The sequence below is a fragment of the Homo sapiens genome, chromosome 11 (genome assembly GCF_000001405.40).
Source record: "Homo sapiens chromosome 11, GRCh38.p14 Primary Assembly".
Taxonomy (NCBI): Eukaryota; Metazoa; Chordata; class Mammalia; order Primates; family Hominidae; genus Homo; species Homo sapiens.
The window spans coordinates 43,478,871-43,498,818 of record NC_000011.10 but is presented as its reverse complement, the minus strand read 5'-3'; the positions used below and the strand labels follow the sequence as shown (position 1 = coordinate 43,498,818).

Here is a 19,948-nt window from a genome sequence, read left to right as displayed (position 1 = left end):
CCTAAGATAGGTTCCCTAAAAGATTGTGAGATGTGGGTGGAAAGCCCTCAGAATGCCAACAGCAGGAAGCAGAGGAACATATCAGTTGCACTGCTTGTTAACCACTAGCATTGACTGAATATTTACTATATATGAGCTCCGCCTTCAGTGCGATGAGACACAGACATGTGACATATATGTACACAGATGGGAGAGAGAGCAACACACCTGAAAGCAAATAGGAAACAGCTCAGAATGAGGAACTTCCTGGAAATAAGCACTACATAGAGGCAGAATAGTAGAGGAGTTAAGAGCACCAAGTTGGTGTTAGGCAAATCCGAGCTGGGTTTGAATCTGAACTCTACCACGTACTGTGGGATTATGAGCTGGTTACTTTACCTCTGAGCCTTGGTTTTCTCATCTGTAAAACAGAGATAATGTTGCTGACCTATTTTGTAGTTGTGAAGACTCCATGAGATAATGGGTGTATAGCATGGTGGTTACGAGTGCAGCTCTAGAATTAGACTCCCTGGGCCCAGACCTCGACTCCCATCACTTCCTAGCTGTGGTCTTGGGCAAGTTACTTAAATCTCGGGCTCCAATTTCCCATTCTCACAATCAGGATAACAACAGTACCTACACCATTGGTTTGACATGAGGCTTAAATTAATTTTATTTCATGTAAAGCTGTTAGAATAATCTTGGAACATAGCAAGAGCTCAATAAATCTTAGATGTTTCTGACTGCACACAGCCTCCTGTTTGGCTCAATGAATTGAAGCTGTTATGATAATCAGAGAAGATGTAGATCAATCAGTGTCATCACAAAAGCTCGGGTAAAAGAGGCCTAGAAGTGGGGCAGAAACCAGAGAGAAGAGGGGACATCTGATGGGGAATGGATTAAGCAAAAGCTTTGGAAATCAGAACAGTGAGGCTGGCCTGACTGGAAGATGTGCCAGGGTGGAGTTAAATGGCTGGGTCTTGTTTAAAATTAAGCAAATTTCTTTAAAATATCCAGTGTCTACAACATGGTGCAAATAACAATAGCTACCCCTTCCTGGGTGTTTGCATTGTGCTAAATGCTTCATATTTTAAAAATCTCCCTTACTTCTCACAGCTATCCCCTGTGAAGAACAGTAGCTCTTATCATTCTCAGATTATTTTATTTCAGTGAGAAATTCAGCTCAGAGCTAAATACTTGTTCAAGATCTCCTTGCTAACGAGAGGCGGGACTAAGATTTGAACCCAGATTTGTTGAACCCATTCTCGGGCTCTGAGTCAGGAACGGTCCTACCACAGAGGAGTTGCTACAGAGCCAAAGTTCTCATGAGGCCAAAGTTCTGGGGGAATCTGCCTTGGAAGCTCTCAGACCCTTGCTGTATGTGGAACAGAAAGGCCACTAACAGCTGCCCTTTGTGCTGGAGAGTTGGACTCCAAGTTTCATTCCCAGCTAGTTGGTGCCAGTGTCTAAGTCTAGTGTGAGTCAGACCTTTGACCTATCTAGTAAATAAGCCCCATAGAGTTCCAGGATGGCACCCACAGGGCAGGGCTGCTGCCTGCCTTTGCATCATCACTGGGCCCTCGCATCACCAGCCCTGCAGGAGGTACACATTCATGGTCTGTCAGCCTTCACACAGTACAGCTTCCCACCACACCTGATTTGAAGCAGCATCTGAAATGAGGCTGGCAACAATGCTGTGGAGGCAATTCCAAGTCATTTCAAAGAGAGATCTAGCTCTTTCCTCTTCCTTTCAGATAAGCAGATTTGTAGCTGTTCCTACCCTGTACTCCTTCTGTATAAAACCGACTCGAAGGTGCCTCCATTCATTGTTGGCTGACCATTCCTGCTTTTAAGAGGTCGAGGCCATCCTGGTCAACATGGTAAAACCCCGTCTCTATTAAAAATACAAAAATTAGCTGGGCGTGGTGGCATGCACCTGTAGTCCCACTACTCGGGAGGCTGAGGCAACAGAATCGCTTGAAAGCAGGAGGTGGAGTTTGCAGTGAGCGGAGATTGTGCCACTGCACTCCAGCCTGGCGACAGAGCAAGACTGTCTCAAAAAAAAAAAAAAAAAAGTCCAGAGTAGAAAAATATTTGTTGAATTATTAACACAAAAGAAACAAAAACCTATGTGCACACAAAAACCTATATACTATTTATTTTTTTAGACAGAGTCTCACTCTGTCACCCAGGCTGGAGTGCAGTGGTGCAATCTCAGCTCACTGCAACCTCTGCTTCCTGGGGTCAAGTGATCCTCGTGCCTCAGCCTCCTGAGTAGCTGGGATTACAGGCCCCCACCACCACGCTGGCTAATTTTTTTGTATTTTTAGAAGAGACAGGGTTTCACCATGTTGGTCAGGCTGGTTTTGAACTCCTGACCTCAAGTGATCCACCCACCTCAGCCTCCCAAAGTGCTGGGATTATAGGCATGAGCCACTGTGCCCGGCCAAACCTATATGCAAGTGTTTATTGCAGCTTTATTTACAATCTCCAGAAGCTGGAAGCATCCCAGTGTCCTCCAACAGGCCAACAATCAATGGAACACTACTCAGCAACAAAAAGTATCGAATCGTTGATCCACGCAACATGGGCGAACCCCAAGTGCATTCAATATGTTGAGGGAAAGAAGCCGGACTCAAAAGGCCATACCCGAATTCCATTTATATGACACTATGGAAAAGGAAAAGTGACGGGGTGGGAGAGCAGACCCGTGGTTGCCCAGGGTTAAGGGTTGGGGAGGTTTGACTACAAAGGGACAGCATGGGGGAGTCTTTTTGGGGTGATGAAAGTTTTGTATCTTGATTGTTGTGATGGTTGCATGATAGAACTGTACACCAGAATGAATTTCATAGTATGTTAATTTTAAAAAGTCAAGTGACTGGGCTGGGCATGGTGGCTCACGCCTGTAATCCCAGCACTTTGGGAGGCTGAGGTGCGTGGATCACCTGAGGTCAGGAGTTCAAAACCAGCCTGGCCAACATGGTGAAACCCCGTCTCTACTAAAAATACAAAAAATTAGCCAGGTGTGGTGGCACATGCCTGTAATCCCAGCTACTTGGGAGGCTGAGGCAGGAGAACTGCTTGAACCTGGGAGGCAGAGGTTGCAGTGAGCTGAAATTGCACCATTGCACTCCAGCCTGGGCAACAAGAGTGAAACTGCGTCTTAAAAAAAAAGTCAAGCAACTGTTGAAGGTTTCAGGAAAAAATTGTGGTGAGGTGGGGAAGCAGGGAACCACACTTAGATACTAGTTAATTTCGATGGATCCCTGAGTGCATAAAGGCTGACTGTATTCAGTAACAAATGAGCTTGCTGTTCTCAAAATACATCTGATAAAACTGGAGTTTGTTGGACTTTAGCTGCGTAGAGAGGTCACAGGTATGTCTGGTGTAAGAAATTACAGACCTGCTTGGAAGAAATTAGTCTTTGCTAGAACCAAACCCTTCAAGTTCCATGAGCCATTATCTGAGACAATCAGTGTCTGATTACATCCTAGCAAAGTCCATAGAAATGCTGCCTTCAGTGGAATCCTGTCCCAAGGGGAATGCCTGACTTACACGATGCACCCCAAGGCTGTCTGTGAAACTTACTTGGATGAACTTTAAGATCAGTGCTTACCTGAGGGCCATGACTTTGTGGCTTAGATGATTATTCCTTTGCCAGGAAGGTCAATTATATACCAAACTCTGAACATGTGCTGACTGTAAGTCTTTCCCGGTTAAATGCATCATTCTAATAAGTTCATCAACTATAAAACCTAGTGATGGATTGTTTTTTCTCCCCTCACCTTGCTGCTGAAAGAAAGATAAAGCCAATGTAGGGCTTGGGAAGATCACATCCAGAGTTAAAGCTGGACTTCACAGCTGCCCAAATTAGTCAGGTTCTAAAGAAAAATCACATGACAGACCTATTTTGCTCATAAACAATTTTATTTTTTTTCTCAGTATGTGCCCTTGAAGATTCCAAAATGTTGGAGTTTCTGATTCTCCTGGGATCAAAGGTAAAAGCATTGTATGGAAACACTCAACCTTGGCTCATTACCCTCCTGAGGAGCTAAGTCTGGAGGCCTCAGAGAGAGGGAGCTGACATTCACAACTTATTCCAAGATGGGTAACACAGTGAACAAAGAATTAGTAAAACATAGACTCAGTCTGTAGAGGGCTTCAAATATACATATTCTATATATATAAACCTGTTATATAGGATTTCAACTTATTGGTTTCCTTGTGATTTGTAATTAAAGTACAAATTATAAAGATGTTGCACACTGCTGATTTCCCCTTCTCAGCCCCCCTCCCTCCCCAACATAAATAACATTACAAAGGTCAGGTGATCCTAAGAATTTTTGTTGTTGTAAATATTTTGTTTTTAAAATCATATTCCCCTTCCTCCCCTGCAAACTACCTCTGAGAGTTTGTAACACAGCAGCATGGAATGGACAAGACTGGGGACAGCATGGAGGTCTAACGGAGAGAGCGCAGAACGTTGCTTCTCACTGACGGGCACCAGATGGGCTTCCGCATTTCCATTGACAACAGAGGCTACGACAGGAAGCAGAGAATGTGCAATGCGGCTTCATCCTCCTCCAAAGAGAAGGCTAGCTGGACCACTGAGAAAAGCCCTAAAGGCATTGAGGTTTTTGGAGACAGAGCACAGCTCCAGAAATGTCTTGGCTCAGTATTTACACAATATCTTGAAGCTGCACTTTCCTTTTAAGAAATGTGTGTTTCTGAAGGTGCCTCTTCTGAGGTTGGTTGGGGGAAAGGAGAAACGTAAAAACAAAAACAAACCAATTCCCACATATGTAAAAGTCCTGTTATAAGTCTTAGTTATTTTCACACACATCATTAATAGTAGATACTGACAATGATTGGTTTCTTTTCTTATTCTTTTTTTTTAGAGCATGAGTAAAGAGAAAGAGAGAAGGAAGAAGTGCACTAAGGAGAGCGCCGTCCCTTCTTCAGCATTAAGTGACACTGGATGGTCTGGATTCGGTTCTTGGCTGGGACAAACTCGGGCTGAAGCTTCAATGTGGATTCATACCACACCAGTGCTTTTTCAAATTCTTCCTGTGAGGGCCAAGGAGAGAAATGTGAGGGGATGGCACCAGCAGACTAAATATATACTGTGACCTCTTTTTTCTCAAGAAGCACCTCTGTACTAGGGACAATCCCGCAGCATTTGCTCAACGGATCTAAGTCTTTGTGGAAAACTCTGAGGTTCCTCTGGGAGGAAACAGCTGCCTTCATTCCCGAGGTATGGGAATGAGGTATGGGATGAACAAAGGAAACTACGGCAGAGCCCAAGAACAAAAGGAAAAGGGGTAGAGCAGCTTTTACAAACCCAGCAACAGTAATAATTGTGGTAATAATGAGACCTAACATTCCTGAGTGCCTGAAGTGTGCCAGGCTGTGCTAGGTGCTTTATGAAATCCTTCCATTTAATCCTCACAGAAACCTCCAGAACCGTGCCTGACAAATGCCCATTATGCATCTGCCTAAATTTTCTAATGTAGCTGGAAAGACGGAAACTAAGTCCGGTATCTCAACTGGACTTGTACATTTTGAAGAGTTTTAAAATTCTCTTTAACATTTAAAGATGCCAACAAAGATTGGGAAATGATCCCTGCCATATTGAAGGTTAATCTTTTACTTAGAGTTACACTCTAAAAGAAGAGCCCAAATCTACTGGTTTAATGACTTCTTCTAGCCAAATGAGAGACATAAGTCCTCGTTCATAGTAGCAAACTTCACATTTACTGGGAGCAACAACAGATTCTTCAAGAAGCAGAGGGAAATCTGCATATTCGGCAATACCTCCCTGGCAAAATACTTCTCGCCTCTGAAGTCAAGAACGATACATGAAGCTGGTAGCCCAGGGCTGCTCACTCTATAAGCCATTACTGAGATCATCTTGGGACTAGCCCTATGTGTGATGCCACATTTTAGATGAAAGCGAATGGCATGATTCTCATGCTAAATTGGGTTATGACAGCTTTTAGGGGGTCCCCCTGGGATTTTCAGTTCTGAAAGCAGTTCTTGTTTCTGATCAGAATGAGGGATCTGGATGACTTTGCCATTTTCTCTGTAAATGGTATTCCATGAAACTAGCGGAATTTCTTCATTCATTAACTACTTGGTGAGCACCTACCATGTGCCAAAAACACTGTGAGGCACTGGGAACAGGGAGGTGAAGAGGAGTCTTGTCCCCAATGAGCCCGTAGGCTAGAGGGAAAGACAAATACTTAAACAAAAAATTATAAAACAAAGTGAAAATCCAGCAAGAAAAATATGCAAAGGGTGTCATGAGTGCGATGACAGGTACCTTAGCCCAACCTGGAAGCAAGAGAGCATGTATGTGTGTCTACATGGAGTGTTAGGAGAGGTTTTCTGGAACAGGTGGTGTCTCCAGGAAACTGTAGGTAAATCTGACTCTGCTGTTAATGTTCAACTCATGTTGAGGAACTACGTAGTTGCAAATACTTAGAAGAATTTCATGTATTATGTTTTAAAAAACCTCTCGAACCCTTATCCATAAAATATAACATTGGTGGAACCAGCAATTTTAGACAAGCTTACAGGAAATTGGTGGGCAATGACATATTCAAAGAGGTTTTGAAATCAAAGATGTGCTACTGTTTGGCAGAGTTGGTACATACTGCTCACACCCCCATCTCACCATTGCCACGTAGACATTGCCCAGAGTGAAGTGGTTCACAGCAAAGTGTGGTGCGATCTCTACTGCCATGGTGGCTACTATGACGGCGTCATTCCAGAGCTTGGCATTGTGCAAGATGTTGGCCAGGCTAATCAGGGGCACATCCTGGGAGAAGAAGGAGAATGGTGAGAAGGGAAAATTGGGTTTTGAGCTTTCATTCTTGTTTTTGGTGATCATAAAGAATACAGTCTGTGTTTCCTGGTGAATGATTAGAACAGTGCCACTCAAAGTGCTTTTGTGCTGTTTGCTACTGGTCTGTGATAGATAAGGTGCTTGTACCAGAATATAAATCAATTACTTCTTTCATTGGCGAAGTCTTGCTTCGAAAACAAACACAACAAAATGTCAGCTGAAGTAAACAATCTGCTGAATAATGTAGTTGGTTTCTTCTGGTGAAGCTCCTTGTCTCATTGCAGACTGCTAATAAAAAGTCTGTGTACTGTCCACAGACCACACTTAGAGTCATGCTGTCAGAAAGCCAAAATAATTTCTGCAAGAACCATTATATCATTACGGGTTGGCAAACTTTGGCCCATAGGCCAAACCTAGTCTCCTGCCTATTTTGAAAAAAGTTTTATTAGGACACAATCATTCCCAGTCCTCTACGTATTTCTGTGGCTGTTTTCATACTACAATGCTAGAATTAAGTAGGTGCACCAGAGGCTGTCTGGCCTCCAGAGTCCAAGTGTTTTATTCTCTTGCCCTTTTCGGGAAGTTTGCTGACTCCCAGAGGTAGAGCCTCAGCCCTTCCCTATTGCCTAACAGTATAGAGTACAAAATGATGGATGGAACAAGTAGCAAGATTGCTATCATCACAAATATCATTCCCTTTAAATGTCTAACTTGAGCAACTGTTACCTGTATCATGCCATATTGGGTTCTGTAGCAGACACAGAAGAAACAGAAAGGACCCATCTTTGTGACAGCCATAGAATGCATGACTCTAGATGAGCTCATTGAAGTTCAATAAGGTGCCCAAATTCACAAAGCTAGTAAGAGGTAGAGCTGTGTTTAAAACTCAGCAATGCCTGACAATAAATCCTGTGTTCCTTCCATCATTCCATACATTGCCTTGACGAACAAAGAAGACACCAGCCATGTCTTTAAAAAGCATAAGATCTGGATTAATGCAGAACTCAGAACACATGAATACAAATGTGCTGATAAAACACTGTATTTTCTCATCCATCATAACAATAACCGGTCTTCTGGAAAAGTCTGGTGTCACACAGGGTTAGCCGGTTTTTTTTTTTTTTTTTTTTTTTTTTTTGTGGAAAAAGTAGAAGTCAGACAAGGACCAGGAACTGGCCAATGTACATGAATAAATGGAAATTTGCTTCTATCTCTGTGCTTGGAAGCAAGCTCAAGCCAAGAGGATAAGCAAAACAAGTCTAAGAGGTCACCAGGCCCCTGATGACAAGCTAAATTCAGATTGACTTCTATGTGTCAGCCCACTTAGGCCAGTGCATTTGCTGTATGTTGGGTGGCTCTGAACACAGCAGAAAGGGGACTAAATGCAGTACTGTCTTACAGTGATCTGGAAGGCCTTCCCCACGTTCCAACCTGCTGAAGCTGGGAAGGCAGCAGGGATAGTTCATAGGCTTGCTGGGGCACAAGCCCAGTCAGAAGGTCTCCTGCCCCATTCTCTCCTTGGAATATGTCCTCACTGGCTGAGCATGAGGGAGGCTGGTTCAAAGGGCAGAATAAACCATGGGGAATGGAAAGGACAAAGGGGCAGAAGTTCCCACCTTCTGAGTCCCACTCACCTTCATCTGGTGTGGCGCATAGTGCAGAGCCTGGCGGAGGCAGTCGATTGCCTTCTTTCCTTGGCCTTTCACCCTCCAGTAGAGGGCTGCCATGCTGGAGAGGACCCAGGACGTCTGGTTCTGCAAAGGAATGTTAGCCAAGGCTGGTGTCCTTTCAAGAACATACTCATTTATTACCAAGATTAAGTTCAGTAACACAAGTCATGACCATTCAACTGAGTATTTACTAAGTGCTGGCACTCTGCTCAGCACTTTCTGTTCCACCTGTCCTTCATTAATCCTTAGAACAATCCTGTGAGCTTGATACTACTATTACAGCCCTTCTATAAATGAGAAAACTATGACTCAGAGAGCTTAAGTGTCTTGCCCAAGTTCACTCAACTACTGAATAGCAGAACTATATCTCATATCTATGTTCTATTTTATTTAACTTTCTGAATAGGTAACACAGTCACACGTTTCAAAAACCAGGAAGTATACAAAGTTATACCATGAAGTCTCTCTCCCATCCTCGTCTCTATGGTAGACAAGTAAACATTATTTTTAATTTTTTACGTTTCCTTCTAGAATTTCCTCCCCTCACCTCCCCCCTCCCCCCTCCTTTCCTTTGTCCTTTTTTTTTTGAGACAGAGTCTCGCTGTCGCCCAGGCTGGAGTGCAGTGGAATGATCTCAGCTCACTGCAACCTTCATCTCCCAGGTTCAAGCGATTCTTCTGTCTCAGCCTCCCGAGTAGCTGGGATTAGAGGAGTGCACCACCACGCCTGTCTAATTTTTGTATTTTTAGTAGAGATAGAGTTTCACCATGTTGGCCAGGCTGGTCTCGAACTCATGACCTCAGGTGATCTGCACACTTCGGCCTCCCAAAGTGCTGGGATTACAGGCATAAGCCACCATGCCCACCCGGATTATAACAATTTAATCTCCTGCCAGAAATATCTAAGTATCACCATTTCCTTATAGCCCCATCACAGAGTTTGTTACTAAACTCTTAGGCCCCTGACAATCTGATGGGTGAGAAATGTGGTTTTAATCTGCATTTCCTTTCTTATGAGTAGAGTTGACCATTCTTCCATATTTGTTAGCCTTTTGAACGTCTTTTCTGTAAACTATTTGCATTCATATTTTGTTAATTGTTCTGTGAGGTTTTTGTCTTGTCTGTTGGTAAAAAGTTCTTTATATTTTAGGGAGATCATCCTTGCCTATGATTTACAGATAAGCTTCCCGAGTTTGAAGTCTGTCTTTGGACTTATGGTACTTTGTGTGATGTAGATTTTGATTGCTACAGAATTTGGTTTTTTAGTGATCTTCAATGACTTCTGGATTTTCAGTTGTAGTTAGGAAGCCCTACCTCATTCCAAGGATATAAAGAAATTTTACTGGGCCAGGCTTGGTGGCTCACGGCTGTAATTTTAGTGCATTGGGAGGCCAAGGCAAGAGGAGATCAGCCTGGGCAACACAGCAAGATCCTGTCTCTACAAAAAATAAAAAATACAGCTGGGCATGATGGTGTGCACCTGTAGTCTCAACTACTTAGGAGGCTGAGGCAGGAGGATCGCTTGAGCCCAGGAGTTTGAGGTTGCAGTGAGCTATGATCACACCACTTAGTGCACTTCAGCCTGCAGGAGACAGAGTGAGACCCTGTCTCTTAAAAAGCAAAAGAAATAAATATTTCACCATTTCCCCTACAGAATTTTTATAATTTCATTTTTTACATTTAAATATTTGATCCATTTGAAATTTAATCTGCTGTAAAGTAAAAGATATGGCTCCAACTTAATTTTTCTCCAGATAGCTACTAATTTGTCTCAAAATTTAATTAATAATTCACCTCTCTCCCCACTGAGATACTACCTTTACTATATATAAAGTAATATATATATTATACTATATATAAATACAGTATTTAATTTAGGTTGAATTTTGAATTTAGGTCTAACTTTGGATTTTTAAAATCTATTTCATTTGCAACTTTTGGTTGATGATCTCTGACTCCCAGCCATTACAGAAGAGGCACTCAGAAAACTTAACTGCTTGTCTGATTTGTGTTTTCAATAACATTTTTGTTAATTTTATAATTCTACATTTTCAGGGCGTATAGTATTTACATTCTGACCTATCACTCTATGCCTCACCTTTTAGTATTGGTTTTACAGCTGAATATAATCAGTGGTCACTGACATTACTTTTGTGTGGTTTTCCCAATCATCTCCTGGTTGGCTAAAGCTCATCTTCTAATAGTTTCCTCAAGAACGGCTCATGGGAACAATATTCTTTGAGATCACTGCTATGGGTTGAACTATGTTCCCCCAAAATTCATATTTTTAAGTCCCAATCCCCTGTACCTCAGAATGTAACTGTATGTGGAGGTCTTTAAAGCAATGATTAAGTTAAAATAAGGCTATTAGAGTGGGGCCCTAACTCTAAATGACTGGATTTATATGAAGGAGCTAGAAGAAGGACAGACACACCAGGGTCCTGTGTGCACAGAGGGACAACCATGTGAAGAGGCAGCAAGAGGCCAACTGCAAGCCGAAGAGAGAGGTCTCAGGGGAGACCAACCCTGCCAGCACTTTGATCTCAGGCTTCCAGCCCCCAGACCAGTGATAAAATAAATTTCTGCTGTTTAAGCCACCCTGTCTGTGGCATTTTGTTCTAGTGGCCCTAGCAAACTAATACACTCATATATGTTGAAAAACTTCTGTCTGGTGCTTTCAGAGCTAAAAGACAGCTTGGTTGGATTTAAAACCACAGCTTATTCTTTCCTCAAATAATGTGTCAGCATTTCTCTATTGCCTCTTGCTGTGGAATGCTGCTGCAGAGAAATCTGAAGCTAGCCCAACTTGTTTCTCCTTGTTAAATGATTTGTTCTTTTTGACTGGTATTCCAAAAGGATTTTAAATAAAATGATCTTAGGCCAGGTGTGGTGGCCCACACCTGTAATCTCACCACTTTGGGAGGCCAAAGAAGGCAGATCACGTGAGGTCAGGAGTTCGAAACCAGCCTGGCCAACACACTGAAAACCCGTCTATACTAAAAATACAAAAATTAGCCTGGTGTGGTGGCAGGTGTGTGTAATCCCAGCTACTCAGGAAGCTGAGGCAGGAGAATCACTTGAACCCGGGAGGAGGAGGTTGCAGAGAACCAAGATTGCGCCACTACACTCCAGCCTGGGTGACAGAGTGAGATTCTGTCTCAAAACAAACAAATAAACAAACAAACAAAAAAGTTATTTCTTTAATGCTAATATCTGACACACAAAAGAACATAAATAATTAAATACACATATAATATATAATTTCTTCTTTTTTCTGAGGCAGCTCTTGCTCTGTCTCCCAGGCTGGAGTGCAGTGGTGTGATCATAGCTCACTGTAGCCTTGAACTCCTGGGCTCAAGTGATCCTCCTGTCTCAGCCTCCTACCTCAGCCTCCTGAGTAGCTGGGACTACAGGCATGCACCACCATGCTTGGCTAATTTTTAAATTTTTTGTAGAGATGTGATTTTGCCATGTTGTCCAGGCTGGTCTTGAACTCCTGGGCTAAAGTGATCCTCCTGCCTCAGTCTCCCAAAGTGTTAGGATTATCAGAATGAGTCACCGTGCCAAGTAAATATATAATTATATAACATAGTTAAATATTAGGTATATAACTATGTAAAACATATTCATGCTGTAAAACATACAATGAATATTCCAGAAACGACCACCTTACTGAAAAATGGAACTTGTATTTACTTACGTGTTCTTACACCATTCTATCCTCACACACTATTCTAAATGTTATCTTTATTATTCCATTTCACCTTTTAAACATAGTTCTATCTCTGACATACATGTATACTTGACTCAACAATATACATTAGTTTACTTCTTCCTGTACTTTATGAAAATGGTATAGTAGTCCCTCCTACCTGATAGGGATACATTCCAAGACCCGCGGTGGATGCCTGAAACCATGGATAGCATCCAGTTTTACATCTACTATTTTTTTTCAATCTGATAATGACAGGCAGGGAGCTTCTACACGATGATTCACATCCCGTGTGGACTGAGCCCAACAGCAGGTGGTTTCATCATGCTACTCAGAATGGTGGACAACTTAAAAACTTATATTTATTTTTGGAATTTTCCATTTAATATTTTTGGACCATAATAGACTGTGGATAACTGAAACCGTGGAAAATGAAGCTGCAAATAAGGGGGGGACTATGGCGTATTGTATGCAGACTTGACAAACTTGGGGCTTTTTATTCAACATTATATTTCTAAGATTCATTCATGTTGTGTTTATTCAGTTTCCTTGCTGCACAATTAAATGCTCATTAAGTTGAATATACTACATGGTATTTATCCATTTTCTGTAGATGGGCATTTAGATTGCTTCCTGGTTGTCTCCTGTTATAGTCTAGAGTAGATACCAAGGAGTAGAATTTCTGGGCCACGGGATATGCATATGTTCAAAAAAAAAAAAAAAAAAAACAAAAAACCAAGAGATTGCCAAATTGTTTCCCAAAGGTGCCATGCCAACATACAACCCCATTCACATTGTTTAAAAGGACCTCTTGATCCATGTCCTTCCTAACCCTAGGTACTGTTGGTGAGGGGAAAATGGCATCTTCCTGTGGTATTACTTTGCATTTCCTGATCACTAGTGAGATTGAGAATTGTTTCTCATATTTATTCATCACACATATCACTTCTGTGAAATGCCTGTTAATATCTTTAATGCATTTTTCTATTTTATTACTTTTCATCAATTTATATGTTTTGTATATTAATCTTTTGTAGATTAAATGTGTTGCACATGTTTTCTCCCTGGCCTGCCTTTCTTTAATTAAAACAATTAAACTTTAATATACTTTAATTCATTAACATTTTCTTTTATAGTTATTTTGTGTCTCCTTTAAGAAGAAAACTTTCCTTACTCCATAGCCAGAAAGGTCATCTCCTACATTTTACTCTAAGTTTTAACATTTTGTTTTTGATACTTGAGCCCTTAATTCATGTGGAATTGAATTTTTGTGTAAGATATGAAGATTGAAATTAAGTAAGCAATTGCCCCAGTACAGTTCCTGAATAGTCCCTTCTCTTCCCACCAATTTTCAATATTACTTTTTTAATATATCACAGTTCTGTATGTTAGAGCAGAGGTCCCCAACCTTTTTGGCACCAGGGACCAGTTTCATGGAAGACAAATTTACCATGGATGGGGTAGGGGGTGGTTTTGGGATGATTCGAGTGCATTACATTTATCGTGCACTTTATTTCTATTATTATTACACTGTGAAATAATTATACAACTCACCATAATGTAGAATCAGTGGGAGCCCTGAGCTTGTTTTCCTGCAACTAGATGGTCCCATCTGGGAGTGATGGGAGACAGTGACAGATCATCAGGCATTAGATTCTCATAAGGAACTTCCGTGCAACCTAGATCCCTCGCATGTACAGCTCAGGCAGTAATGCGAGCGATGGGGAGTGGCTGTAAATAGAGATGAAGTTCACCTGCCACTCACCTTCTGCTGTGTAGCCCAATTCCTAACAGGCCACAGACCAGTACCCATCCGTGGCCTGGGAGTTGGACCCCTGTATTCGAGTCTATTTCTGGCCTTCCTATTTAGTCTTCCTAGCCATTTTTATTTATGCTTGAGCAAACAGCATAATGTCTTGTTTTATCAAAAAAGTAAGGCAACTCTCACTTTATTTTTCTTTTCAAGAGTGTCAGGTCTATTCTTCATGATTTACCTTTCCATATAAAGACCTGCTTTTCAAGTGCCATAAAAAAACCCTGCTGGTACTTTGATTATAATAGCATTGACTCTATAAATCAAATTGAGGAAAACTGACATGTTTATAACATGTGTCTTCTTATCCATGAACATTATATATCTATTTATTTAGATTGTTTAAAATGGTTTTTAATAGAAGTTTTATCTCTTGCTGCACGGAGGTCTTGATAACTTTTGTAAGATTTATTGAGAACTTTATATTTTTATAACGATGTATATTTTTAAAAATTACACTTTTAAATTTTGTGCTGCTGTACAGAAATGCAACTTTTTATTTATTGAGTTTACGGGAAGCCACTTTGAGAAAAATATTATTTCTAAAAAACTGTGGAGTCTTTGGGGTTTACTATACAGATAATCATATCACCTCTGAATGACATTTTGTTTTTTCTTCTTTACACTTATGCCATTAATTTATTTCTTTCTTTTTTTGAGATGGAGTCTCGCTCTCTCGCCCAGGCTGGAGTACAGTGACACAATCTCGGCTCACTGCAACCTCCGCCTCCTGGGTTCAAGTGATTCTTCTGCCTCAGCCTCCTGAATAGCTGGGATTACAGGGCTGCACCACCACGCCTGGCTAATTTTTGCATTTTTAGTAGGGAGGAGGTTTCACTGTGTTGACCAGGCTGGTCCTGAAATCCTGATTTCAAGTGATCTGCCCACTTCGGCCTCCCAAAATGCTGGGATTACAGGCGTGAGCCACTGCGCCCAGCCTAATTTCTTTTTATTGATTTACTATACTTGCTAGGAGTTTCAGTACAAGGTTGAAAAGAAGTGGTGATAGTCTGCATTCTTTTTCTTGATTTCAAGTAATTATTTTTCATATTTCCTCAGTAAGAATCATCTTTGAAGTAGATGTTTTGTTGATTATTTTCACCACATTAAGGAATTTACTAAGTTTTACATTATAAATGGGTATGAATTGTATCAAATGCAATCTACTGAAATGATTTCATAGTTTTTTTCCTTTAATTTGGTGACTCAAATTTTGCGTTTTCCTAGAGTTAGACCATTTTCAGTATTTCTGGGATAAACCCAATTTGGTCAAGGTATATCTCTTTTTAAAGAAATGTGCTGCTGGATTCAGTCTGTTAACATTTTGCTTATGATTTTGATTTTGATACCTAAGTTCATGAGTGAGATTAGTGCTAACTTAAAAATTATATATGACAACATATATAAATATATATTATTTTTCTTTCTCATAATGTCTGGTTTTGTTTTAAAGTTTATACCCGTCTCAAGGAATTAACTGGTATGTCATTCCTTATTCTAATGTCTGGAAGTCTGTTTATATTAGGATGAGGTATTTCTCAAAAGTTTGTAGAATTCACACTTGCAAAATCAACAGACCTTGTTGTAATCTTTGTGAGAAGATTTTTTAAAAACTTACTACTTAATTTATTTGAGAATTATGAGATTCTTCAGGTTTTCTTTTTGTTCTTGAATCAGTTTAATACATTACATTTTTCTAAGAAATTGTCTACCTGTTTTCAAATTTATTGGCATAAAGTTGCAATTATATGCTTTTCTTATCCCTTAATTTGATATAACCATAGTTTTGTTTTGCCCTTTTTCTTGATATTGAGAATTTGTACTTTCTTTTTATCTTAATTTTGCCAAAAGTTTATTTTACTACTTGTTTCAAAGAAACAACTTTTGGATTGTTCATCTTCTCTATTATATCTTTGTTTTCTATTTCATTGATTTCTACATCTAGTAACAGAACTTAGAAATACACAAATCGAAAACTTACAGGACTAAAATAAGATACAAGCAAATTCATAATTATTAATATAGTTGAATTAGCCTCTCAATAACTTATAGAAGACCAGAAAAATCAGTAAAGAAAATATAAACAATACTATCAGGAGCTTAACCTAACTGATATTTCTAAAATGCTCTACCTAACAAAAGCAGAAGACAATATTCCTTTCTAGTGCACATGAAGCATTAACCAAGATAGGCCACATTCTGGCCCATAAAACAAGCTTGAATAAGCTGAAAAGAATTCAAATCATACAAAGTATGTTCATTTACTACAATGGAGTTAAACTAGCTATCAATTAAAGAAAGATATCTAGAAAACACCCAAATAGTTGGAAACTAAATATCATACTCCTAAATAACTCATGGGTCAAAAAAATTAGAAGGAAAATTATAAAGTACTTTGAATTGAATGAAAATGAAAATATGACAAGTTAAATTTGTCATAAATTTACAGGAAACTTTTAGCATTGAACATCTACATTAGAAAAGAAGACAGGGATCAAGTCAATAATACAAGCTTATATTAAAAGCCTAAAAAAAAAAAACTATTAAAAACCTAAAAAATGAAAAGCAAATTAAATCCTAAGCAAGCGGAAGACAAGGAAATTACAAAGATAAGAGCAGACATAAATGAAAGAGAAAACAAAAAGATGGTGGAAAGTCAGTGGATCCTCAAACTGATTATTTAAGATCAATAAAATGGCCAAGCATGGTGGCTGTAATCCCAGCACTTTGGGAGGCCGAGGTGGGTGGATCACTGGAGCTCAGGAGTTTGAGACTGACCTGGGCAACATGGTGAAACCTCATCTCTACTAAAAATACAAAAATTAGCCAGGCATGGTGGTGCAAGCCTGTAACCCCAGCTACTCAGAAGGCTGAGGCACGAGAATCACTTGAACCCAGGAGGCAGAGGCTGCACTGAGCTGAGATCGCACCACTGCACTCCAGCCTGGGCGACAGAGCGAGACTCTGTCCCCCTATTCCCCAACAACAAAAAAAATCAATAAAATTCATAAACTTCTAGCGAGTCTGATCAGAAAAAAAGAGATAAGATACAAAGTACCAATATCAGGATTAAGAGAGGGTCCATTACTACAGATCCTACAGATAGTAAAAGGATGATAAGAAAATAATATGAAGAACTTTCTGCCAATAAACAATTTAGATGAAATAAACAAATCCCTTGAAAGACACAATTACCAAAGATCACCAGAGAAGAAAGAGATAATTTGAATAGCCCTAGATCTATTAAAGATATTAGAGCTATAATTAAAAACCTCCCACAAAGAGAACTCTAGGACCAGATGGCTTCACTGGCAAATTCTATCAAATATTAAGGAATTCTCTACAGACTTTTTCAGAAAACTAAAGTGAAGGAAACACCTCCAACTCATTAAACAAGGTCATTATTATCCTGATACCAAAACTTCACAAAAACATAATAAAAAAAACCACAGACCAATATCCCTCATGAACATAAACACAGGTACAAACTGACTGACTTATGCATAATGGAGAAGAGTGTTTATGTTGACAGATTTGCAATTTCTAACTGTACATCTATCTTTCTTTTGTTTGCTTTACATATTTTGAGGGTATTTTACTGAATATGTGTAAGTTTAGAACTGGTATATCTTTCTGGTGAATGAAACATTTTATCATTATGTAGTCATTCTCTCTACTCCTAATAATTATTGTTTTGAAATATATGTTTTTCAGGTAATTAATATAACTATGCCTACTACCTCCTTTTTATTAGTTTGTACCTGGTATTTCTTTTCCAACTTTTTTGTTTTAGATGTAGTCATAAAAATATGCAGTTCCTTTAAAAGTTTTCTGATTTCACATTATTGTCACTGCTGTATTATAGATCATTTTATATTTGTCCAGATTCTTGAATGCTTTTTTTTTTTTTTGCATTTTCTTGTATTGATTTTTTTTGGCTCATCCTCTTCTTACTTCATTATTTTATCCTCACAGGTTTTAGATTTGTGTATTCTTTTAATGATACCCTTAAATTTTACTGTAAAAATTTAACAAAGTCTAAACAATGTATTATAACTCTCTTCTCCTGCATAATAAAAGGGCTTTTGAAAACCTAAGATCTGATCATCCCACTCTTAAATATACGTTCTACTTTGTACAGTATTTCAGTCATTTCTTTTAAAATCCCACAAATTATTATTTTCCACAATGTTTGGGTTTGTATCTTATTTGCTTAGCATTTTGTCATTTTATTTGCTTAGCAAATCTTCTTGGGTCTCAGATAATTCTTCTGCAGCCATCATATAAAAAATTTTCTTTAGAACGGCACTCTTGGTAGTAAATTTTTCTAGCTCTTTGCTTATCTTTAAATATCTTTATTCTTTCTTCATTGTAGGTCACACAATTCTAGGGGGTCTGGTATCCTTTCACAATTCATCTGGCCTTAATAGTGGCTATTAAATAGGTTGTCATTTTAGCCATCATTCCTTGTAGGTGATCTGTCCTTTCTTTCTGTCTCCATGAGGGCAGAGATCTTTTGAGTTGTTTTTCACTGATTTATCCCAACCATTTAAAAAGTAAATGGCATATAGTAAGCTTCTACTAACCATTTGCTGAATGAATGAATAAATGAATGAGTGAATGAATACATGGCTACTGTGATACTTATTGAGCTATTGTCTTTCAGGTCCAAATCTGCTTTGCGATAACTGCTGGCACTCTGCAAACCACATTTCTCCTTTGTTAACAGGCTTCTTGTTAGGTTCAGCAAACATGTGCACTAGAAGATTGGAAGGCAAGAGGGAGAAGGGACTTCTTTCTTCCTATTTGCATGCTGCTCCTGTCAGTGTTATTCCAGCAACAGCACTCTAGTCTCCAGGTTCTTTAAGCACTCCCAGACCCAGGCTCACTGCACCCTTCTGCCACAAGGCTGTCCCTCTCTGTGGAAGCAAGAGCTCCAGCTCCTCAGTTTCTCCTGTAAACTTCTAAATTCTGAAAACCCTAATCACTTGCTGCCCTTTTCCACACCTAGAGGTGGGAGCTGTTCCCTACAGTTATCTTTAGTTTACTTCCTTGTTTCCTTTTTCTCTTTCAGCCCTCTACAACGTCATCAATTCTCTAAATCAAATTTGCTTTTCTGAAATACCTAGTGTTATTTCTGTTTTCCTGACAGTACCCTGACTGAAATGGATGCTTTAAGATACCTTTGCCTTTGCTATTTTGTAGTTCTACTATAATGTATGTAGGTATGGATTTCTTTTTACTTTTCCAGCTTGGAATACATGGTACTTCCTAAGTCTGTTGATTCATTTGTCTCCTTGTCTCTATAATATTTCAGGTAAATTTTTTACAAAGCTTGCAATTCACTATTTAATTATGTCTAATTCATGTAACCCATCAACTGAATATCTGACTTACACAATTTATTTTAGTTTAAGATGGCTAATTTGCTTTTTAAATTTACCTACTCATTTCTGATGCTATTTGTTTCTCATCTTTGTAATCACATCATTTAAATGTTTTATAATGAAAAATTTCAAGTATATACAAAAATAAAGGAACTTTTTTTTTTCTTTTTTTGAGATGGAGTCTCGCTCTGTCACCCAGGCTGGAGTGCAGTGGCGTGATCTTGGCTCACTGCAACCTCTGCCTCCCGGGTTCAAGCTATTCTCCTGCCTCAGCCTCCAGAGTAGCTGGGATTACAGGTGTGAGCCATCACACCTTGCTAATTTTTTGTATTCTTAGTAGAGACAGGGTTTCACCATGTTGACCAGGCTAGTCTCGAACTCCTGACTTGGTGATCCACCTGCTTCAGCCTCCCAAAGCACTGGGAATACAGGCGTGAGCCACCACGCCCGGCCTGGAACTACTCTTTTAAAAGCTGCACTCCTGGCTGGGTGCGGTGGCTCACACCTTGTTATCTCAGTAATTTGGGAAGCCAAGGTGGGA

At 39.7% G+C, this 19,948-nt stretch overlaps 1 protein-coding gene across 8 annotated transcripts in view; it reads right to left on the bottom strand.

Moving 5' to 3' along the window:
* Positions 1–3,887: 3,887 nt before the first annotated feature.
* TTC17 (tetratricopeptide repeat domain 17) overlaps positions 3,888–19,948 on the bottom strand; it is a 136,012-nt gene continuing 119,951 nt past the window's right edge. For all 8 annotated transcript variants that reach the window (NR_164823.1, NR_164824.1, NM_001376525.1 and 5 more), the window contains 3 exons: positions 8,461–8,580; positions 6,656–6,799; positions 3,888–5,046 (listed from right to left, as the gene is read on the bottom strand). Coding sequence is in view for 6 of the 8 variants with exons in the window: in NM_001376525.1 (NP_001363454.1) it covers positions 4,915–5,046; positions 6,656–6,799; positions 8,461–8,580 (396 nt within the window). In the remaining 2 variants the exon portion in view is untranslated. The remainder of the gene's footprint in view (positions 5,047–6,655; positions 6,800–8,460; positions 8,581–19,948) is intronic.